The sequence below is a fragment of the Homo sapiens genome, chromosome 1 (genome assembly GCF_000001405.40).
Source record: "Homo sapiens chromosome 1, GRCh38.p14 Primary Assembly".
Lineage (NCBI taxonomy): Eukaryota > Metazoa > Chordata > Mammalia > Primates > Hominidae > Homo > Homo sapiens.
In genome coordinates, this window is record NC_000001.11 from 171420967 (window position 1) to 171445389 (window position 24423).

At 43.0% G+C, this 24423-nt stretch overlaps 1 pseudogene, besides 1 other annotated feature; it reads right to left on the bottom strand.

Moving 5' to 3' along the window:
• Positions 10878-11531: an enhancer, noted in NCBI's record as "OCT4-NANOG-H3K27ac hESC enhancer chr1:171400983-171401636 (GRCh37/hg19 assembly coordinates)". NCBI's record gives its function as "activates a minimal SCP1, AML or CMV promoter by ChIP-STARR-seq in naive and primed H9 embryonic stem cells {active_cell/tissue: H9 hESC(naive and primed)}" and the evidence as "EXISTENCE:reporter gene assay evidence [ECO:0000049][PMID:30033119]".
• On the bottom strand, positions 23718-23997 carry CYCSP53 (CYCS pseudogene 53; annotated as a pseudogene).

Genomic DNA, 24423 nt, shown 5'->3' on the forward strand with positions numbered 1-24423 from the left:
ATTTCAGGTGAGTGGGAACAAAAGCAAAACAGGAAATAATTACCATAACAAGGGCCAGAGATACACCTATAGGTGATAAGGCTGGTAACAAGCCAGTGTCTTTGTAGAACACTTAATTTCTGAAAATCTTGCATAATGTTCACACTCATCTGGTATTTTAACAGTGTTTCACTTTGGCATGGTCTGTTCTTATGTGACTAAAGAACTCCTGAGTCCTCTATTTGTTTGTGCTGTTTTCCATAAAAGGAAATGGGGGTGAGAAATAGTGAAATAGCTCCATCCAGATAGTTGAAGCAATATAGAGTTGCACAAAATTAAACTCACCTTAAGATAAATGGACATTGATGTTTTGGTGCTCTAAAATTGCTCCAAAACATTCTTTGTAAGTTATGCATACTGTTAAGGGTATTTATTAGCTGTGGACCTTGAACAAGTGATTTAACCATCCTGTGCTTCTGGTTTTTTTGTTCGTTTGTTTTCCCTCTTTCAGCAGAATCATGTTTCTTTATCTGTAAATTGGAGTAATGATAGTACCTTCTTCAGAAGGATGTAATAAGGACTAAATGACTAAAGTGCTTGGAACAGTGCAGAGCAGTACATGAAGTAAGGACGTGTGTACTAGCTATTGTTGTTACTGATGTAGAAAAAAAAACAGGTTCTTGTCACATGACCAGGATAATTTAGGCACAGGGACACACTGTAAGGTTAGTAGGGCAGGGTTTATCGGGTGAAAAGGAAAAAAAAAAGGGAAACAGGAACTCCAGCAAACCGAAAGAGAGGCCGGCTAGCAGGTTTTCCTCCTCAAAGATTGAATCCCAGGTCACCACACAGGAACAGGAGATGCCAGGATCCTCGCCACTGCAAATAGCGTGAACTTCCCAAGGCTCCACCCAGTCCTCCCAGTGCGCAGGTGGCCATTATTCAGAAAGAATCGGTTGGGAAAGGGCAGACTTCATCCAGACTAGCACTCTGGTTTTTCAGCCTTCAGACTGTTTTAGGCTTGAAGGAGGGGTTTCACTGGGAGACTGTTGGCTGCCTCCTGTCTCTGTCGTTACTGTGTCCATCCTGAAGAGTCATCAATAAGACAAATGGGGAAGAGATTGTGACTTTATTTTAAAAAACAAGAGAGAGAGAGAAACATCTCCACTGCCGCCCCTCCCCTCCCCCCCCAGAAAAAACTACCAAGAGCTATGGGTAAAACAGACAGAACAGAGACCCCTCTTTGAGGCCTGTGGGTCCCCTCCCCTCTCCCCTAGCATGGAAATAAAGGAAAATCTTGAGTTCCTTCAAGGGAAATTCCAGGCACCTAGCTAGCCTTGAGAAGTAAATGAACAGCTTGTTACTCGGGAGGCTGAGGCAGGAGAATCGCTTGAAACTGGAAGGCAGAGGTTGCAGTGAGCCAAGATCACACCACTGCACTCCAGACTGAGCAACAAGAGTGAAACTCCATCTCAAAAAATAAAAAAAAAATAAAATAAAACAATAGCCAAGGAAGTTAGAGTCAGATGTTTTGTTCTCTATAGAAACTAAAGATAACATCTTAACATATGTCCCTGAATTGTCGGAGACCCAGATCCCCACCAAATGGATCTGCTGGCACATAGAGCTCAGCTAAGGGGGAACCAAGGACTGAATTCTGATGGCTGTTCTGAATCTCTTCCTGAGGGGCCTGAAGGAGATCACACCCACGAGTCAGAGGTAACATTCTTTTCTGCTGATCTCAAATTTTTGTACAAAGCTTAACCTCTTTAACCAATCGCAAATCAGAAAGTCTTTGAATCCAGTCTGGGTGTGGTGTGTCATGCCTGTAATCCCAGTGCTTTGGGAAGCCAAAGCCAGAGATCGATTGGAGCCAGGAGATCAAGACCAGCCTGATAAACATAGCAAGACTCCGTCTCTACAGAAAATTTAAAAATTAGCCAGGCATGGTGGTGCATGCTTGTAGTCTCAGCTACTTGGGAATCTAAAGGAGGAAGGATCAGGCCTGGCACAGTGGCTCAAGCCTGTAATCCCAGCAGTTTGGAGGGCCAAGGCAGGCCGATCACCAAAGGTCAGAGTTTGAGACCACCCTGGCCAACATGGTGAAACCCCATATCTACTAAAAATACAAAAATTCCGGGCATAGTGGCAGGCATCTGTAATCCCAGCTACTAGGGAGGCTGAGGCAGGAGAATTGCTTGAACCCAGGAGGCAGAGGTTGCAGTGAGCTGAGATTGCACCATTGCACTCCAGCCTGGGCGACAAGAGTGAAACTCCATCTCAAAAAATAAATAAAAATAAAAAATAAGGCAGGAGGATCACTTGAGCCCAGGAGTTCTAGATTACAGTGAGGTATGATCACACCACTGCACTCCAGCCTGAGCAACAAAGCAAGACCCTGTCTCAAAAACAAAACAAAACCAAAAAATCTGCCCTTACAGGATGTTAGTGACACATTGTTAGGGACCAAAAGTTTTTAGGCTCCCATGCAATAGAAATTGACAGAAGGCCAAGCGAGTTTCCCAGACACAGCTTTGTTAGGGGCTTATGCTCAAACACAACGGAAACAGCACTAGAGTGAGGAGTTCTCCAGCTGGTTCCCCAAGGACAGGTCATGTTGGTGTTTTAAGAAGGGTGACGTGAATAAGCACGAGGTACGCAAACGTCATTACATGCGTGGGGTAGAGCACAGGGTGCGCAGGCACAGTGCGAAATCATTTTAGTACGTATATCACATGATCAAAAAATGGCAAATAAGCCCTTCCCTGGGTGGAGATTTTAGTGTTATAATGAGGCAACTCTATAGGGTAAAGATCATCATTCTTCTGGTCATGTGTGTGGATGATAGAGTTGACTTCCTTGAGTAAGACTTAGGGTGGGATGCTACTTGTCTTAGTTTCTTCAAAGTCCTGAGATCAGTGGGTGTGCTGCCTTGACTAAGATGGTGGGATGCTGCTTATCTTAGCTTCTTCAAGGTCCCCGGGTCAGCAGGTAGGACAGAAAAAGAGGAAAATTATGTATTAACGGGGGTGGAGGGACCAAGTCCTGTCCCTACTCTGTCTCAATATTAGTACAAGTGCAAGGCCCTCTTTGCATTAAGCCTTCTGTTAAGATCCTAAGGAGCCCTAATGGGGCAGAGAGAAGATAAATTTGGCTGGGATTCCAGAATGGGTCAAGTAAATTGCTGAAGTGAGCAGGGAGAGACATATTTTGGGAAATCTTAGAACTTTAGGGGATAGTGAAAGAGGGGAGGTATTGAACTTTCTTCTTTCCTCTCTCCCCTTACCGCTGAATTACAGAGGATGGGAAAAAAGTTGGTTATAAAAAATCTTGAGCTGCTTTACAACCAGCCTGCCAGAGTAATCATTTTAAAATGTAAAGTCTTAAACTCCCCTTTTTAAAACCCTTTAATGCATTTCCATTTCACCCAAACATTGATCATTATTTTGGATTGAATTAATGGGAGAGGGAATCCCACATGATGAATAAATGGAGTCCTTAGAGAGAGATGTATGAGAATGCTGCTGGCAGGAAGGACAAACCCTTGCTCACAAGTTACAGTCTGGGATTTTCTTATTCTTTCCTCTCAAAGCCCTCACATTTTCTCCTCCTTGCCTATTCCCCATTCCCAAAGGAACTTGATCCCCTCAGGACAAAGCTGGATAGGGCCTCTGTTGAGTCAGTTCCAGCCTCTCCTCTTTATGACCTCAAGAAGCGAGTGAAAACCTGTCTCCCAAGTCAGAGTGCCTTACACACCTGAAGGCTCGCCTAGGGCAGGATATGCACAGATAGGATCTCTTATTGTTCAAGCACAGACTAAGCAACATAGCCCAGCAGTCAGGAGCACAGTCTTCACAGATGGATAGAGCAGAGTTGGAATCTTAATCTGGCCACTTCCGAGCTGTTAATAAACCTTTCAAAATATCAGTTTCTCGTCTGTAAAATGATGACAGGAGAACCTACTTGAGGGTTGTCAGGATACTTAAATGTGATGCCTGGCACATAGTAAGTACTCAATAAATACTGACTATTGTTAGTACTAAAATCATAATTCTAGAAGCTAGATAACATAACTTTCTCTCTCCCCTCTCACATGCAAGAGAGTGGAGCACAAATGTTCTATTGTTTTACTAGCCATGATAAAATTCAAGCTAGTTACAATATTTTAACAATAACCATAGTTCCCTTCCTTTCTTCTAACTTCTGACAGTGTAACACAGCAGTCCCCAACCTTTTTGGCACCAGGGACCAGTTTCATGGAAGACAATATTTCCTCGGCTGGTGCTGGGGCTGGGGGTGTAGTTATATAGGCATGAGCAGGGCAGGAGAGGGCTCTCCCGACCCACTAGGAATGTCAGGTGATGGTTCAGCAATTATCACATTGCTTCGCTAAAAATGATAATTAGGCAGCCAGGAGAGACAGTCCCCTGATGGTCCACACCTGTTAACATTAAAAGTGTTAATTGAATGCAGACCCCATGGAGAAGCAGCTTCTCGGGCATGCGTGTTAAGAGACAAAATTGCAGGCTAGATGCGGTGGCTCGTGCCTGTAATCCCAGCACTTGGGAGGCCGAGGCAGGCGGATCAAAAGGTCAGGAGTTAGAGATCAGCCTGGCCAATATGGTGAAACCCCGTCTCTACTAAAAAATACAAAAATTAGCCGGTCGTTGGCCGGGCGCGGTGGCTCACGCCTGTAATCCCAGCACTTTGGGAGGCCGAGGCGGGCGGATCACGAGGTCAGGAGATCGAGACCATCCCGGCTAAAACGGTGAAACCCCGTCTCTACTAAAAATACAAAAAATTAGCCGGGCGTAGTGGCGGGCGCCTGTAGTCCCAGCTACTTGGGAGGCTGAGGCAGGAGAATGGCGTGAACCCGGGAGGCGGAGCTTGCAGTGAGCCGAGATCCCGCCACTGCACTCCAGCCTGGGTGCCAGAGCGAGACTCTGTCTCAAAAAAAAAAAAAAAAAAAAAAAATTAGCCGGTCGTGGTGGCACTGCGCCTGTAGTCCCAGCTACTCAGGAGGCTGAGGCAGGAGAATCGCTTGAACCCAGGAGGCAGAGGTTGCAGTGAGCTGAGATCCCGCCACTGCATTCCAGCCTGGGCGACAGAGAGAGACCCTGTCTCAAAAAAAAAAAAAAAAAACAGAGAGACAAAATGGCAAAGTATGATGTTCCAGGGACAAAGGCCACCGAAAAAAAGGAAAAAAAACCTCAGATGCGCATGTGTATAGCTCCCTAAACACCCTGTGTGTGCTCAGTCCCAAAGAGTAAGGAAAGCACTGCACATGCGGAAAGCCCACCCTAAGGGAAGAATCTTGGGAAAGAGGCAAGCCTATAAAAATCCTAGGATCATGGTTAAATGGGGACTTGATATTCTTTTTCTCTCTTCGACCTTCAGGCACCCACTTGGATCTCTTCCAAGGGTTATTTTCTTTATTTCCTGCCTTAAAGCCTTTTTAAATAAACTTCCATTCCTGCTCTGGAACTTGCTTCGGTCTCTTTTTCTGCTTTATGCCCCTTCATTGAGTTCTTCCTTCTGAGGAGGCAAGGACTAAAGTTGCTGCAGACCTGTATGGATAGCTGCTGGTAACTCAGGGTAACTCCAATCTCTTCCACTGCTAACAGGGTGGGCAGAAATGATTTCGGGATGAAACTGTTCCACCTCCGATCATCAGGCATTAGATTCTCATAAGGAGTGCACAACCTAGATCCCCTGCATGTGCAGCTCACAATAGGGTTTGTGCTCCTATGAGAATCTAAGGCTGCCACTGATCTGAGAGGAGGCAGAGCTCAGGCAGTAATGCTCACTTGCCAGCTGTTCACCTCTTGCGGTGTAGCCCGGTTCCTAACAGGCCACAGACTGGTACTGGTCTGCAGCTCGGGGGTTGGGAACGCCTAGTGTCACAGTTTATTTCCCCTGGGCCAGGACAGCCTATGGATGCAGCTAGGAGGACAAGGTTTCTATTGTTTCTACCAACTCCAGCCCCTGCCCCACACCCACTATATCCACATTCTGGGTACTTCTAACTTAGATCTTGTTTTCTCCTCAAAGAAAGGAGAATCTTTAAGGGGTGGGGTAGCTCACAAATACTTGGGTATCCTCCCAACCTTGTCTTTCAACTTCCCAGTCACTACAAATTGCTGCAACCTCCTGACCCATCTGCACAATCCCGTCATCACTCACCCCAGCCTCACCATACTGCTTCACAACAGCCTGGCTCCTTGCGAGCAGCCCTACCCACGTAGATCTGCTTCTTTCTTTTATTATTATTATTTTTTTAATTTCATTTTTTCTTTCTAATAAACCTTTTGTGATCCTAAGATCTGCTTCCTTACAATCTGTCTCTGTCATTGCTGCTGGTACCCAGCAGCCGGCTTGCCTTGCCCCCATTTTTTAGGCAAAGCCTGAGCTGTTTCTCAGAGTTCTCAGAAGTCCCAGCCTGTTAACCAGCCCCAGTGTGCAATAAGAAATACTGTTGTTGAGCCAGGCATGATGGCTCGTGCCCATATTTCCAACAACTGAGGAGGCTGAGGCAGGATGATTACTTGAGCCCAGGAGTTCAAGACTAGTCTGGGCAACATAGCGAGACCCAACCTCTAAAAAAAAGAAAAAAGAAATACAGTTATGATGTTAGTTGTGGGCTTGTAATAAATTTTTTTCTTATTTTTATTTTTTTAAAAAAGAAAAGCAATACAGTTGTCTCTGGTTATCCATGGGTAATTGGTTCCAGGACCCAATAGTGGATACTAAAGCCAGCAGATGCTCAAGACTCTTACACAAAATGGCATAGTATTTGGATATAACCTACACACATCCTCCCCAGAGGATGTGTATACTGTATATTCTTTTTCCCCAGAAACAGCCAGGAAGAACTTCTGTACACTTTAAATCATACCTAGATTACTTAATAACACCCAATACAAGTAAATGCTATGTAAATAGTTGTTATACTGCATTGTTTAGGGAATAATAACAAGAAAAAAAAGGTCTGTACATGTTCGGTACAGACACAAATTTTGGAGTATTTTTGATCAGTGGTTGGTTGAATCTGTGGATGCGGAACTCATGAATACAAAAGGCCAACTGTCTATTGTTTTTGGCTTTCATTCCAGCTTCCTGACACAGAGCTCCTAAATTATTCTAGTTTCCTTAGCGTTAAGGGTGACAAAAGCATCTTTCATTATAATATTTGTCTTTTGTACAGAGCTCCTAAAACTCTTGGAATTTTCTAAGTGATAAAAGTTTATTTTGTTACTCTTAATAAGCCCTTTGGCTCACAGCTGAGTTTGTGCTAATGAGGTAACCTTAGGGTGGAGACCCTAGATAGCCTCAGGATGGGGTCAGTCACTGGAAAGACCAAGTGAGATGCGATAAGCTTCCAAGTTGCTGGACACTTGGAAGTACTGGGAAGGAGGGTGTTGTGCCAGAGAAGGGATGGAAGATCCACAACCTCATACCTTATCCTATCTGTCTCTTCATCTGGCTATTCATCTGTATGCTTTATATTATCCCTTATAATTGGCAAATGTAAGTAAAGTATTTCCCTGAGTTCTGTGAGCCACCCTGCCAAATTAATGGAATCCAAGGAAAGGAGATATGGGAACCCCGATTAATTGATTGAGATAGGGTCTGGCTCTGTTGCCCAGGCAGGAGGGCATTGGTGCTATCTCAGCTCACTGCAGCCTCAACCTCCTGGGCTCAAGCAGTTCTCCCACCTCAGCCTCTGGAGTACCTAGGCATACAGGTATGGGCCACCACACCCAGAAATTTTATTTTATTTTATTTTTGTTGTTGTTGTTGTTGTAGAGATGTGGTCTCACAAAAGACCTGTTGCCCTATTGCCCTGGCTGGTCTTGAACTGCTGGGTTCAAGTAATCCTCCCACTTAGGCCTCCAAAAGTGCTGGGATTACAGGCATGAGCCACCATGCCCAGCTGGAACCTTGAACCATAGCCAGTCAGTCAGAAGCACAGGTAACAATCTGGGACTTGCAATTGACATCTGAAGTGGGGACAGTCTTGTGGCACTGACCCCTTAACCTGTGGGATCTGACACTAATTCCAGGCAAATAACATCAGGATTGAATTGAATTAGAGGACACATAGTTGGTGTCTTCTGGAGAATTGTTTGGTGTATGCAGAATGTTGGGACAACTAAGTTCCTCTTCAAAGCCTCAACTTCCTGGTCATAAGCTGTAAAAGTTTTAAATCAACTCTACCCCCTTCTTCCCCCCTTTTTCTTTTCGCAAATCGTGCATTTACCTTATTTGAGAAGGTTTAAGTCCCAGCCAGTCAGGATCAGCTTAGATTGTGCATCCAACCCCAGCCAACAGGGGAAGGACACAGAAACAGGAACTGCGTTAGAGTTAAAAGCTCCTTCCCTCCTTTGTTCAGTGTGCTTTTGTGAATGCATCAGGCGCAAGCAGCACCCTTCTGCAGAAGTGAAGCTGCCTTGCTGAGAAATTTTCTGTCTAAGTGCCGGTTTCTTTTGGCTACGCCAAGCACTTGTTTCTAACACAGAAAATCTGCACATAGCTGGTCACAGAACTGTTTTGTGATATGTGAGAGTAAAGAGGTAAAACAGTTTGTTTTTGACTTTATACCCAGAGAATCCATTTCCTTCCCTCTTCCTGGGATCCCAAGAAACCCACACTAAATCTTCTTGGCCCCTCCTCATGCAACCTTGGGGTAAACAACATTTCTCCCTCCTTCAGTTGATCTTCCAGCCTCCAGGGACAGATGCATTCTCAAGCAGCATCAGCAACTCTCCTCTAGGGATCTTGCTAAAACTGTAATAATCACAACCCTTTATTAGTCTATTTCCTTAACCCATACATAACATCCTACATTTAGCCCCTTTTCTCCAGAAACGTAGTCACCCTTGTGATTTTGTAAATTTAGTAAGTTTACTGAAAAACTGGAGAGGGATTATAGCACACACAGTAGTTTTCCTACGTTTGGTACCTCTGCCCTCTCTCACCTCTGGCTCCACACTGCTCTCACTGAGAAACCTCTCCAAGTAATGGGTCTTTTAGGAGGCACACACTGAGGTGGAAGAGAACTGCCCCTAGGTCGACTTGCCTTTGTAAAAGGAAAATAAATCTTGGGGCCCCAAAATCACTAAGCCAAAGGGAAAAGTCAAGCTGGGAAGTGCTTAGGGCAAACCTGTCTCACATTCTATTCAAAGTCACCCCTCTGCTCACTGAGATAAATGCACATCTAATTGCCTCCTTTGGAGAGGCTAATAAGAAACTCAAAAGAATGTAACCATTTGTCTCTTATCTACCTATGACCTGGAAGCCCCCTCCCCACTTCAAGTTGTCCCGCCTTTGCTTCGAGTTGTCCCGCCTCTCTGGACCAAACCATTGTTCATCTTATATATGTTGATTGATGTCTCATGTCTTCCTAAAATGTATAAAATCAAGCTGTGCTCTGACCACCTTGGGCACATGTAGTCAGGACATCCTGAGGCTGTATCACGGGTGCGGGTCCTCAACCATGGCAAAATAAACTTTCTAAATTAACTGAGTCCTGTCTCAGGTATTTGGGGTTCACACCTTCTCCAGTGCCACTGAAATTATGATGATTAAAACATCCACAGAACTGTGCAGATATATGTTCTGTATTCCCCTCTCTTAACCACTTGAGCACTGCCTTGAGATCCAGTGTGAATTCTGTTTACCTCCTTTTCTTGCTCTAGAAAGAGCTTTCTGGGTCTTCTGGATCTATTTCTATTTCTTTATTACCTCTTACCACTAGCAACTTTTACTTTCCAATTTCAATTTTTTTCTTTTTCTTTGGCCAAGGCCAGTCTTGTAGCATAGCTAACTGAGGGGGCGGGGGGCAGGGTTGTCATCCTAACATAAGGATAAAATGGAGCTAAAGTTTTTCACAAACTTTATATTAGTTTATAATTTATCTTATTTGCCTAACCATATAAAGGTAAATTCAGTTAAATTTATGTTTAGCAAATACTTAACACACAGACACATACACAGCACTATACCAAGCACATTGAGGGATATGTTGGGGGGCAGAAAACGATTCCCCAAGATATGGACTTCGGCTTGCTGAGTGCTTTTGAAAATTGAAAGGCCTCAGTGAAACAGGATAGTTTCCTTGACCCCTTTGCAGGACTTGTGAAGGGGGTGGCTCATTTACTCAGCCCACAGCTCTCAACCCCTCGTGGGAGGGGGAGCATGTGAGTGGGCAGGTGCAGGGGCCAAGGTAAGTGCTTCTGGGAGCCGACAGGAGCAGAACTCCATGTGGCCCCTGGCAGCATCTTGGGGGTACCTGCAACCCCTAGAGCCCCAGAGGGTACGTGTGACAGTGTGCTCTTTTAACTTTGCTGTCTACAAATGGCTTAAGTGCTTAACAGCTCAGTGTGACAGCTGTCTGTATACCAAGCTCTTGTTCGGCATGCAGAAGAATCAAGTCACATGAACGAATTGAAGATGGTAAATGTGGGGGATTTTATTGCCTATGAAAGTGACTCTCAGCAGGATGGGCAGCTAGAAAGGGGATGGAGTGAGAAGGATGGAGTGGGAAGGTAGTCTTCCCTTGGAGTTCGGCCAGCTTAGTTCCATCCCTGGCCAAACTCTTCTCCAAAGTCCTGCTGTCAAGTTGTCCCTCTGAAGTCAAGCTGCTTCTCTCCAATGTTCAGCTGCTTCTTCTCTTCCCTCCTTCTCTGCTGTTCCGCTCTGCTGCTCTGCCAGTGGAGCCTGGGGTTTTTATGGGTACAAGATCAGGGGCGGGGCAGGCCAAAAAGCAACATTCAAGTAGGAAAACAAGAATGCATGTTCTCATTTTGGGCCGAAGTTCCAGGCTTGAGGGTGGAGCCCTCCCTGGGGCTGCCATCTTCTATCCAGTATTTCCCTGCCTCCTATCCATTTCATCAGAATAGGTCTCAGAACCAAAATCTCTCTCTCACTTTTCCCCGACGCCTGGTCTCTCTAGTCCTCTTTTCCAAGCCACCAGAAGGGACTCTCTCGGGAATTTCCTTATCTGATTAAGAAAGCATCTTTCCAAAAGAAATGCAATTGTTTTAAGACTCCCTCCCTAGAAAATCTCATCAAATGACCAGGAAAGATCAACCACCAGAGAATAGAAGAGACCAGGAGTCTTCATCATGTCCAGACAGAATTTTCATTTGTTTTTCTGAGGGCAGCTTCAAGAGATTACCTGAGGGGCTTCATCTACATAATAATAAAAAACCTTTGTTATGCCTCTCAACTTTGGAGTTACTCCCAATCAGCTCCCACAGAGAACCATAGTCTGAGCATTGGGCCTATTCATTCCTCCATCCCTCCCCCAACCCCATGAAACAGGGTACAGAAGCTTCTGTACCACTGAGTTGTTGGGTGATCACCCTGTGATTCTCCCCCGGTGCCCAGCACATTAATAGATTTTGCGTGCCTTTTCTCCTGTTAATCTACATTTTGTCAGTTGCTTTTCAGAAAACTTCATGGTATTTTTTTCTTTTTCTGTTTTTCTGTCTCTCTCTTTCCTTCTTTCTTTCTTTTCTTTCCTTTTTTGACAGGGTCTCACTCTGCTTCCCAGGCTGGATAGCAGTGGCTTGAATTCAGCTCACTGCAACCTCCATCAGTTCCCCCACCTCAGCCTCCCTAGTAGCTGGGACTATAGGCATTGTGCCTCTATACTTGGCTAATTTTTTTAAATTTTTGTAGAGATGATGTCTCACTACATTGCCCAGGCTGGCCTCAAACTCCTGGCCTTAAGCGATCCTCCTGCCTTGGCCTCCCAAAGTGCCCAGCTTCAGAGAAACTTCAAAGGGCTAAGGGCAAGTTTTCCCTTGGTCCCTACAGATACAAATGCAAATGTGACTGAGCCTGTGGCCTCATAGAGCTGATGGTCTGATAGAAAAAAATAAGACACAGAAAACTAGAAAACTCAGAAATCCATGGCAAGTAATCTTAGAGAGGGACTAGGGGCAGAGGGGATAAGGCTGTCTGGAATGTCCCACAGGAGAAACAGAGGAGGTCTTTGAGGTCAAAGTATCATTTTATCTGGGCTCCTAGGGTAAAATTTCAACCACAAAAACTCTGAGCATTTTGCAGGTGCAAGGCTTAACATCAGCAATATCGTTCAGGCCTAATATTGCTTTTGATAATAGGTGATTAATTCAGTCTAGGAAATCCCTAGTGATAACACCTCAGAAGTCTGAGAACAGGTTTTATGAATTGAGAAGGCACATAGGCCTCAAATCCATGCAGAGGCTGGGTGCCGTGGCTCACACCTGTGATCCCAGCACTTTGGGAGGCTGAGGTGGGTGGATCACTTGAGGTCAGGAATTCGAGTCCAGCCTGACCAACATGGTGAAACCCCATCTCTACTAAAAATACAAATTAGCCAGGCGTGGTGGCACATGCCTGTAATCCCAGCTACTTGGGAGGCTGAGACATGAGAATCGCTTGAACCCAGGAGGCAGAGGTTGCAGTGAGCCGATGTGCCACTGCACTCCAGCCAGGGCGACAGAGCGAGACTCCGTCAAAAAAAAAAACAACAACAACAACAAAACAAACAAACAAACAAAAAACACCCATGCAGAGCAATATATATTTCTATTCTCTCCTATTTGACTATTCAGATGAGTCAGGAAAAGAAGTGTTAAGACTGCTGACCACTCTGTACTCCAAATTTGCTCTCTAAGGATTATAGTCTGGAAAGTTAATGATCAGTTTATTCAACATGATTCAGACTTGGGGAACGCAGATCACACCGCCTCAACTCACAAAACAGGTGACCTCATCATGTTCTCTCCAAGTCCCTGATGTACAAAAGCATAGAAACCATGCATCTTAGGCTTCCCAAAGCAGTCCCAGTTTTATATAATCTTCCTCTTTTGGATGAAAACAAAAATATATAACCAAATGTAACTTAATTCTTGCAGACTTGATATATACATAAATTCAAAATTAAAGAAAAATATATTTTGTCAGATTGTCAATCCTGATTTTGGGTACCATATCTACAAGAAATGATGTTGATTTCTCACTCTAGGGAAGAGTGAATCAGGGCCTGAGGAACAGGGAAACAATTAAATGTGAAAGATTGCTGTCTATAAAAGAGTATATTGATATTCATACAAGCACTTACTGATGATCTAGTAGATTGAAGAAAATCCTAAGTAATGAGAGGAGATATTATGCCTTTGAATAAAACAGGCTTTCTGGCACCTGAGAGCTCATAAAGTAGTAGGGAAGACAGTTTACACAAACATCTTTAATATAAAAGAGCGCTTGAGAAATGCTACAATTAAAGTGCCAAGTATTGTATTGTGAGTAATTAGGGAGGGGAGTGTTTGTTTCAGTTCATTCTCCATACTGCCACCAAAATGAACTTTCTTTCTTTCTTTTCTTTATTGAGACAGAGTCTTGCTCTGTCACCCAGACTGTAGTGCGGTAGCAAGATGTCGGCTCACTGCAGCCTAGACCTCCCAGGCTCAAGCGATTCTTATGCCTCAGCCTTCTGAGTAGCTGGGATTACAGGCATGTGGCACCATGCCTGGCTGATTTTTGTATTTTTAGTAGAGACAACGTTTCATCATGTTGCCCAGGCTGGTCTCGAACTCCTGGCCTCAAGTGATCTGCCTGCCTCAGCCTCCAAAAGCACTGGGATTATAGGCATGGGCCACCATGCCCGGCCAAAATAAACTTTCTTAAATGGTAACTTTGGGCTGGGCACAGTGGTTCAGACTTGTAATCCCAGAACTTTAGAAGGCTGAGGCGGGTGGATCACTTGAGGCAGGGAGTTCAAGACGAACCTGGTCAACAGATGAAACTCCATCTCTACTAAAAATACAAAAATTGGCCGGGCATGGTGGCGTGTGCCTGTATTCCCAGTTACTCCAGAGGCTGAGGAACGAGAATTGCTTGAACCGAGGAGGTGGAGGTTACAGTTAGCCAAGATTACGCCACTGCACTCCAGTCTGGGTGATACAGAAAGACTCTGTCTCAAAAAAAAAAAAAGTAATTTCATCATGTCATTTCCTGGCTTAAAAATTCTCAGTGACTCACCAAAACCCTCATGAAAAAAGACCAAACTTCGCTTTTAGAGCGCCTGTCTCATTTCTGAACTCTTCCAGCCATAAGACATTCCACCCCAACATTCTAAACAAATTTGTAAATATGCCCATTCCCTGAAAACTCTAGACATTTACACTTTCATTTTGCTTACAATCTCCCATTTCCTCTTCCTGAACTCTCAGCACCTCCATTCTACCCAGCTTGGCCTAAATCCAAATCATCTCTTAAGTTTCAATGAAGACCTCAAACAGGAAGCTTTCCTTTATTTCAAATGGGGTGTGTACTCCTCCCATTAACTCACACGTGTCCCTCCACTACACTTTTAATTCTACATTGTTCTGTCTGCTGTTTTTCACAGTGCAGGCAAATAATATAAAATGATATTAAAAAGTAAATTTTGCCAGGAACAGTGACTCACACCTGTAATCTCAACACTCTTGGAGACCGAGGCAGGCAGATTGCACGGCCCAACCCCGTCCTGTCTCTACAAAAAATACAAAAATTAGCCAGGTGTGGTGGCACACACCTGTTGTCTCAGCTATTCCAGAAGCTGAGGCAAAAGGATGGTTTGAGCCTGGGAGGTCAAGGCTGCAGTGAGCCGAGATCATGCCACTGCACTCCAGCCTGGGTGACAAAGTGAGACCCTGTCTCAAAAATTAATAAATAAATGAACAAATAAGTAAATTTTAACAGAAAAAAAGTTAATATTACATTGTGTTCATTTATCATACTCTTACACTAAACTTTTTACATACACAAAGACAGCAATCCTGTATTAATTCATTTCTGTGTTCATTAAGTATCTTACATTGCCTGAAACATAACTAGTTATTTAATAATCATTTGTCAATTGAGTAATTAAGGAAATTCTTCACTATGAAATCCTCACTTACCAGGCTTCAGCCTGCATCAGCCTAAAACTCCTACGAGATAAGGTCCACAACTCTCAATCTAAGTCCTTTAACTGCACTAGCCTCAGCATCCAGACCTCACCATCTGACTCCATCTTGAGACTTAGGGCCATCCCACATGGGGCCATTATAATTGTTCAACCACACCAGATATTACAGAGTTGGCATAAATGACCAGGAACAAAAACGGATTTTTCCCAATACCCTCGTTCCCATATTGCCTTATTATTCCTTCCCTCCTATACCTGTACCCTCTTTGCATCCCAAACTCATAGAATACTACCTGAATTCCTAGTCATGATTAAGACTCAGCTTCGACTCAAGAACATTTCCCCTATAGTCTCGTTAATGTTTTTTTCCCCATCCTATATACCTAAAGCTGGGTAAGTGAGGTTAAGATTTTCCTCACTCCTAATAGCACTTCCAGGCCTTCACTCTCCTTGAAGTGTCACTGTCCTTTTGAGAGTTATTCTTTCTCTGACATCTGTATATTTTACATGCTTGCATTCTTGGAATACTTGGTAGTTTTCAATGTTCAGTGGATAACGCTTCTAACACTTTAGCTTCCTAGTTTCTTGATGCCTGCAACTTCACTAATTACCATTTCTCCTTCATTCAGCTACTCATTCTTGTGATCATTTCTGAACCATGTCATCATCTGGAATTACTTTATTAATCCATTAATTATATTCCAAACTATAATAACTCATCCTCTGACAAGGACTCTCATCTTTCAAGCACCCACTAGACAGTCCTTTTGACTCTCACAAGACTGTTCTTCTACTTCTTATTCTTTCATTTCTCCCAATCTTCTCCCAACCTCTTTTCCTTCTGAACACAGGATACTCTTATATAGTGGATCATATGCACAATTTTTTCATGAACAGCCTTGATTCCAAGGCATACCTATCTTTAAGTTCTGGGTCAATTCTACAATTGCCTTCTCTACTCTTACATTGGGACAATAAGCACAATTGAATAAAATGATAATCATTATGCAAATGTACCGCTAAAAATTAACAACCCTCAACCTCAATGAGGTCTTTTAGCAATTTCTCCTATTCCGCTTTAAAGATTAATCTAAACCTTAGCCAATTTTATCAACTCCCCTCTCTTTTCACTTCTATCAAGTGACCTTCATCAAATTTCAACCAAGTCACATACCTATAATTTTACCTAGATTCTCCCTAATTCTCACCAACTTATCTCCAATTTTAGAGAAGAAGATATTCCTCTTTCTTAACTGCATTCCTTGGGGGATGTCAAACTTTTTCTGTGAAGTATCACATAGTTAATATTTTAGGCTTTGTAGGTGTGTCAGGTTGTTTTTACTATAAAGAAATTTTTGCCACTATAAAGAAATTGGGCACTATAAAGAAATTTTGGAGGCTGGGTAACTTAAATAAAAGAGCTTTAATTGGCTCACTGTTCTGCAGGCTGTACAACAAGCATCGTGCTTCTGGTAAAGCCTCAAGGAGCTCTTACTTATGGTGGGAGGCAAAGCTGGAGCAGGCATGTCACATGGTGAGAGTGGCAGCAAGAGAGTGAATGAGGAGGCATCATACTTTTTTATTTTATTTATTTATTTACTTGGAGACAGGGTCTCCATCTGTCACCGAGGCTGGAATACAGTGGTGCCATCAAGGGCTCACTGCAGCCTCAACTTCCTGTGCTCAAGCAATCCTTCTACCTCTCTGAGTAGCTGGAACTACAGGCTTGAGCCACCACATCTAGCAAATGTTTTTGATTTTTTTGTAGAGATGGGGTCTCACCATATTGCCCCAGGTTAGTCTCAAACTTTTAGGCTCAAACAATTCTTCCACCTCAGCCTCCCAAAATGCTAGGATTATAGGCATGAGCCATTGTGCCCAGCCTGTCACACTCTTTTAAACAACCACACTTTTTTTTTTCTTTTTTGAGACGAGATGGAGTCCTGCTCTGTCACCCAGGCTGGAGTGATCCCAGGCACTATCACCAGGCACAATCTCGATCTCAGTTGACTGCAACCTCCATCTCCCAGGTTTAAGCAATTCTCCTACCTCATCCTCCTGAGTAGCTGGGATTACAGGCACATGCCACCATGCCCAGCTAATTTTTGTATTTTTAGTAGAGACAGGGTTTCACCATGTGGCCAGGCTGGTCTTGAACTCCTGACCTCAGGTGATCCGCCCGCCTCAGCCTCCCAAAATGCTGGGATTACAGGCGTGAGCTACCGTGCCCAGCCTAAACAATCACATTTCAAGTGAACTGAGTAAGAGCTAACGTATCACCAAAAGGATGGTGCTAAACCATTCATGAAAGATCCTCCATTTCCCAGTCACCTCCCACCAGGCCCCACCTCCAACATGGGGATTATATTTCAACATGAGATTTGGAGGGGACAAATATCTAAACTGTATTAGTAGGCCTTACTATCTCTGTCACAACTATTCAACTCTGCTGTTACAACATGAAAACAATCGACAATATATAATAAATGTGTGGCTGTGTTCCAATAAAACTTTATGGACAATGAAATTTTAATTTCATATTTCACATGAACAAAATATTGTTTTCAAAGATGTAAAATGTAAAATCCATTCTTAGTTCAGGAGTGATACAAAAACAGGCAGTCAGCCATATTTTGCCTTCCTTGACTTAGCCTATAACAGATTCTCAGAGTGAGGTCTCAACAGCATCAGCATCATGTGGGAATGTGTTAGAAAGGCAAATTTTCCTGCCCCACCCCGGATCTAGTGAATCAGAAACTCCGGGCATGCAGCCCAGCTGACTAAGGCCTAATAAGCTCTCTAGGTGATTCTGATACATACTCAAGTTTGAGAACTACTGTCCTCTAAACAAGTTCAAGTCTCTCCTTCAAAAAAAAGGCCTCTGACTTTGCACCTCAAACTTTTTCTCATTTCATCCAAAATTCCAGAATGATTAGTCAATTCTTGCTGGCTCCATTTTCTCAGCATAACTTACCATGAGTTTATAAAATGAGAGTAAGAATACCACCAAGTGGTTGTCAGAACTACATAAGATGATTATAGGTGGGAATTCCACATAGGAAATTCTTCATGTAGTCAAGAAAGGTGGAAAGGATTTTAACTGCATATCCCAGGGAGGAGAAATATAGAAGGAACAGTGCCTGCCTCCCCATAATCCCCTCACCCACTCCTCATCATAGAAGAAGAGTGAGCTGATGGGGGAGCCTGGGAAAAGGAATGAAACCTGTTCTGCTTACAGGGGCAGCTGGAACTTACTCAGCCTCTCTGTGCAAAGTAGAAAGAGGCACCTCCTCAGGAGAACACAGTCCTATAGAGCAAAGCTTGGTGATTGGAAGGTAACCCGTGGAAATAAGAATAAGATATAATTTACTCAAGTGGACAGAGCCCTCAGGGACACTATCGGGTCCTGTTTGCTCGTCTCCTGCTAGGTTGCCTCTTTTGGTTTCTGAATTTTTGTGGTCCATTAATTTCCTAAAGTCTCTGTAAATCACCCCTTAGCCTCAATGAAACCAGCAAGTCTCTTTGATAGGAACTTTTAAACAGGTACAGTGGTCTATAGCCAGCAGGGTCCTGTACTTGCCCAAGATTGCCAGGACAATTTTCCCCAATATTCAGTTTTTCCATCTACTAACCAATATAGCAATGGTAAAAGTATTGTGTGGAGTGTGTTGTTCAAAAATATAGGTGCTTGAATTTCTATTTTTCCTGTTCACTAAGATCATAATTGCAGTATTTAATGCAGACAGCAATCATGCCATCATCTTTGCTTTTGGAAAAAAACGACAAACAAAAACAAAGCAGCAGGAAGAATGTGCCAAGTTAGAGCTACATTTGAAGTGCTCATGGAATGTTAGAGGAAATAGGAGAATCAGAGAAGTTCTCACAAAACTGTATGAAATATAAGCTTTTTTTTTTTTTTTCCAGAGCTGGGTTCTCACTATATTGCCCAGGCTGGCCTTGAATTGCTGAGCTCAAGAGATTTTTCTGCCTTAGCCTACTGGGTATCTGATCTGGGACGACAGGTGTGCACCACCATACTCAGCTAATAAGTAGCATTTTTATGGGTGGATAAGAAGAGAAAGGAATTCCAAGTGAGGAAACAGCATGAGAAAAGTAGGGGGGGAATAATCTGGGGTAGCTGGAGCACAGAAATGTTGAGAGTTGGCATGGTTGAACTTGACAGCCAAATCCTGAATCTTTATATGTCACAGAGTTATCCCTTGGTATCCATGGGGGATTGGTTTCTGGACCTCATTTTATATGAGGGACTTGAACATCCATACCAAAATCCATGGATGTTGGTATTAGTCAGTTTTCATGCTACTGATAAAGACAAACCCAAGACTGGGTAGAAAAAGAGGTTTAATTGAACTTACAGTTCAACATGGCTAGGGAGGCCTCAGAATCATGGTGGGAGGCGAAAGGCACTTCTTACATGGTGGCAGCAAGAGAAAAATGAGGAAGATGCAAAACCATGATAAAATCACCAGCTCTCGTGAGACTTATTCACTACCATGAGAACAGTATGGAATGAGGAAGATGCAAAAACCATGATAAAACCATTAGATTTCATAAGACTTATTCACTACCATGAGAACAGTATGGGGGAAACCGTCCCCATGATTCAAATTATCTCCCACCAGGTCCCTCCCACAACACATGGGAATTATGGGAATACAATTCAAGATGAGATTTTGGTGGGGATGCAGAGCCAAACCGTATCAGTGTTCAAGTCCTTCCTATAAAATGGTATAGTAGGCCAGGCACGGTGGCTCACGCCCGTAATCCTAGCACTTTGAGAGGATGAGGCAGGTGGATCACCTGAGGTCAGGAGTTCCAGACCAGCCTGACCAATACAATGAAACCACCGTCTCTACTAAAAATACAAAATTTAGCCGGGCGTGATGTCATTCACCTGTAATCTCAGCTACTCAGGAGGCTGAGACAGGAGAATTGCTTGAACGCAGGAGGTGGAGGCTGCAGTGAGCTGAGATCGCACCATTGCACTCCAGCCTGGGCAACAAGAGCAAAACTCTGTCTCAAAATAAAATAAAATAAAATAAAATGGTATAGTATTTGCATATCCTCCTATATACTTTAAATCATCTCGTGGTTACTTATAGTACCCAGTGCAATGTAAATAGTATGTAAATAGTTGTTACACTACATTGTCTGGGAAATAGCAGCAAGAAAAAAGTCTATACATGCTCAGTACAGACACAACCATTTTTTTCCTCTTTTTTCTTTTTTAAAAAAATATTTTTGTCTCATGGTTGGTTGAATCCACAGATCTGGAATCCATAGAAACAGAGGACCAACTGTACTAAGCCCCGTTAGGACAGAGAAAATTTAAGTGATTCCTTTATCTTTAATGGATTTAGTAGAGTACTTGGAACATAGCAGCAGATTATTAAATATTTGTAACAAGAAAAAAATGAATGTGTGAAATTTCATTTACTTATACTTAGTTGAGTCAGGTGGCCTAACAAACTGTAAGGAGTCCTAGCAGATGGAGGAGGCAGGAAGTCAAGCTAGAAAATTTACATGTGAGTTATTATTTATTGCTTGATGAGCTCATCAGATGAGTCAGAAATCGTTTTCCCAATATTCCTGTAATAGACTCAGATGACAAATACAAAACTTAATTTGCTTCCAACAACTTCTTTAAAGGAAAAAAATTATGGCCAGTCACCGTAGTTCACGCCTGTAGTTCCAGCACTTTGGGAGGCCAAGGCAGTCAGATCATGAGGTCAGGAGTTTGAGACCAGCCTGGCCAACATGGTGAAACCCCATCTTTACTAAAAATACAAAAATTAGCCAGACATGGTGGCGCTTGCCTGTAATCCCAGCTACTCAAGAGGCTTAGGCAGGAGAATCGCCTGAACCCAGTAGGCAGAGGTTGCAGTGGGAGCCAAGATTGCACCACTGCTCTCCAGCCTGGGCAACAGAGTGAGATTCTGTCTCCAAAAAAAAAAAAAAAATTGTAAAAATAAATCATGTTTATTTCAGAAAACTTGGGACATATCCTACAAATTATAATAAAGTAATAAAGACTGTTTAAATCCCTGTAATCTCATCAAGTAATGTAACAGTATAACAATATTTTCTCATGTCATTAAACATTCTTTGAAAGTGTGATTTAAATGTGATTTTCCGCAAATGCATGCATCAATCTGTTTTCTATTTATTTAACCATTCCTCTATTAGTAGACATGTAGACAATTTCCAAATATTCATTACACCTTTGTAAATGTATCTTTATTATTATTATTACTATTTTTTTTCTGAGACAGAGTCTTGCTCTGTCACCCAGCCTGGAATGCTGCAACCTCTGCCTCCCAGGTTCAAGTGATTCTCCTGCCTCAGCCTCCTGAGTAGCTGGACTATAGGCATCTGCCACCACACCTGGCTAATTTTTTGTGTTTTTACTAGAGACGGGGTTTCACCGTGTTAGGCAGGATGGTCTTGATCTCCTGACCTCGCAATCCACCCGCCTCGCCCTCTCAAAGTGCTGGGATTACAGGCGTGAGCCACTGCGCTCCGTCATAAATGTGTCTTTAAATATAACTCTAATAATTTTCACAGTGAAGAGCCTTAAAAATACCCTTAAAACCCTATTAAAGACAAAAGGCTGCGCACGGTGGCTCATGCCTGTAATCCCAGCACTTTGGAAGGCCGAGGCAGGCGAATCACTTGAGGCCAGGAGTTTGAGACCAGCCTGTCCAACATGAAACCCCGTCTCTACTAAAAATACAAAAAGTAGCTGGGTGTGGTGGCACGTGACTGTAATCCCAGTTACATGGGAGAGGCAGGAGAATCACTTGAACCCGGGAGGTAGAGGTTGAGTGAGCCAAGATGGCGCCACTGCACTCCAGCCTGGATGGCAGAGTGAGACCCTGTCTCAAAAATAAAAATTAAAATTAAAAAAAAAATCTCTTAAAGACAAAAGAAGTTGAAAAAGATGGCTATACTATATGTATAAAATAGTTTAACAGGCTGGGCACAGTGGCTCACACCTGTAATTCCAGCACTTTGGGAGGCTGAGATGGGAGGATTGCTTGAGGCCGGGAGTTCGAGAGCAGCCTGGTCAACATAGCAAGACCCCCCCATTTCTGTTTTAACATAATAATTTAAAAAGAAAAGAAAGGAGAAATAAAATAGCTCAACAGTAGAAATCTGTAGGCTCTTCTAAAAATAACAATGTATAACACATTTTCAATCAAAATTCCACCTGAACTTCTTTTTTTTTTTTGAGACAGTGTCTTGCTCTGTTGCCAGGCTGGAGTGCAGTGGCATGATCTCGGCTCACTATAACCTCTGCCTCCTTGGTTCAAGCAATTCCCCTGCCTCAGCCTCCTGAGTAGCTGGGATCAGAGGTGTGCACCACCACACTCGGCTAATTTTTTTTTTTTGTATTTTAGTAAAGATGGTGTTTCACCATGTTGGCCAGGGTGGTCTCGATCTCCTGACCTTGTGATTGGCCTCCCAAAGGCCTGGGATTACAGGTGCGAGCCACCATGCCCGGCCTGAATTTCTTATAAGTGATAAATATTCTTTATTTGGTGTTACACATAAATTACACTAAAATGCCTTTCAGCAATTGAAAAGTAGAATTTTAGGTAGGGCACAGTGGCTCACTCCTGTAATTTCAGCCCTTTGGGAGGCCAAGGTAATAGGATTGCTTGAGCCTAGGAGTTTCATACCAGCCTGGGCAACAAAGTGAGGCCCAGTCTCTACATAAAATTTTTTAAAAACCAACCTGGCATGATGGTGCCTGCCTCTAGTCTCAGCAACTCGGGGGCTGAGGTGGGAGGATGGCTTGAGCCTGGGAGGTTGAGCCTGCAGTGAGCTGTTTATCATACCACTGCACTCCAGTCTGGGCGACAAAGCGAGACCCTGTCTCAAAAAAATAAAAAAGAAGAACAAAGAAAGAAAATAAAAATAGCATTTTGGATACCAGGAATTCTAATTAGATTGACATAATTAAGACCAAAAATATAAAGCAGACATTGCTACCTTATCTTCAGCCCTTGCCCTTAACAGGCTAATGATCACAAGTTAAAACACAGGTAATTCTTGCTTGGTTCTGAGATAGTGAAGGGATTTCCCCAGTATTTAAATATATTCATATATTCATTTATATAACTATATAAATCAAAACATAAAATCAATTTCCAATAGGCTTTGTGATGGCATTCTCCATCTTTGTGAAAAGTTGAACATTACTAATCAAGTCCAAACTTATCTTTAGAAGAGGAAACAGTGAGAACATTTACTGAATTGGAATTACTATCAAAATTCAAGAAACTAATTGTATTCATTTAACCATAAGCCAGACTTAGTTAAATCAGGACTGTCTAACAAAAATATTCTGTCAGTCATTAATGATCTGAATTCTGGTGTATGAGATCAATTAAATTATGACACACATTTAAAAAGTCATGAGGCTGGTCACAGTGGCTCATACCTATAATCTCAGCACTTTGGGAGGCCAAAGTGAGAGGACTGCTTGAGGCCTGGAGTTCGAGACCAGCCTGCACAACACTGCAAACTCTCGTCTCTACAAAAAATTAAAAATTAAAGATCAGCCAAGTGTGTTGGCATACGCCTGTAGTCCCAGCTACTCAGGAGGCTTGAGGTGTGAAGATTGCTTGAGCCCAGGAATTTGAGGCTGCAGTGAGCCATGGTTGTGCCACTGCACTCCAGCCTAGACAACAGAACAAGACCCTATCTCTTAAAAGAAAGAAAAAAGTTATGAGACATTTCTGCTTTGTAATAAGGCAGTAGCCAATTATTACTTATTAGGGCTTTTTGAGATAAGCTATCAGGTCTGTCCTTTCTGTCTCCTTCTTAATGCCTGTGAAGATCATTTTTGTTTAAGGTATATTTCTTGAGAATCTCCGAATAGTTCATCAGTGTCTCCTCCCCCCAGATGATGCCTTTGTTCTTACTAATGTCTGTGAGAGAGAATCCAGTGAACTCATCTGTTTTCCAAAGAGGCCATGAAGATTGGGTCCATGTGGCACTGAGCACACTCTGAACAAAAGTCTTCTGCCTTTCTCAACATCACCCATATTTAATCTCTCATCAACGACACTATGAACGTTCCCACTCGGAAGCGGGACAGCCCACTCTCCAGGACTCCAGCTGGATTTTGAGGGGAATGTGACAAATTGATTCTGAAATGAACAAAGAATAGCTAAGACGCAAATAACTAAACTAATTTTGAGAAAGAAGAGCAAAGATAGAGGACTTTTTCTACCAAATATTAAGATAAATCAATCACATTCACAGAAATAAAAACAATTTAATACTGCCACAAGAACAGATAGGCCAGGGGCCGTGGTTCATGCCTGTAATCCCAGCACTATCAGACGGAGGCCGAGGCAGGTGGATCACCTGAGGTCAGGAGTTCGACACCAGCCTGGCCAACATGGTGAAACCCCATCTCTACTAAAAATACAAAAATTAGCCACGTGTGGTGACTCCAGCCTGGGCAA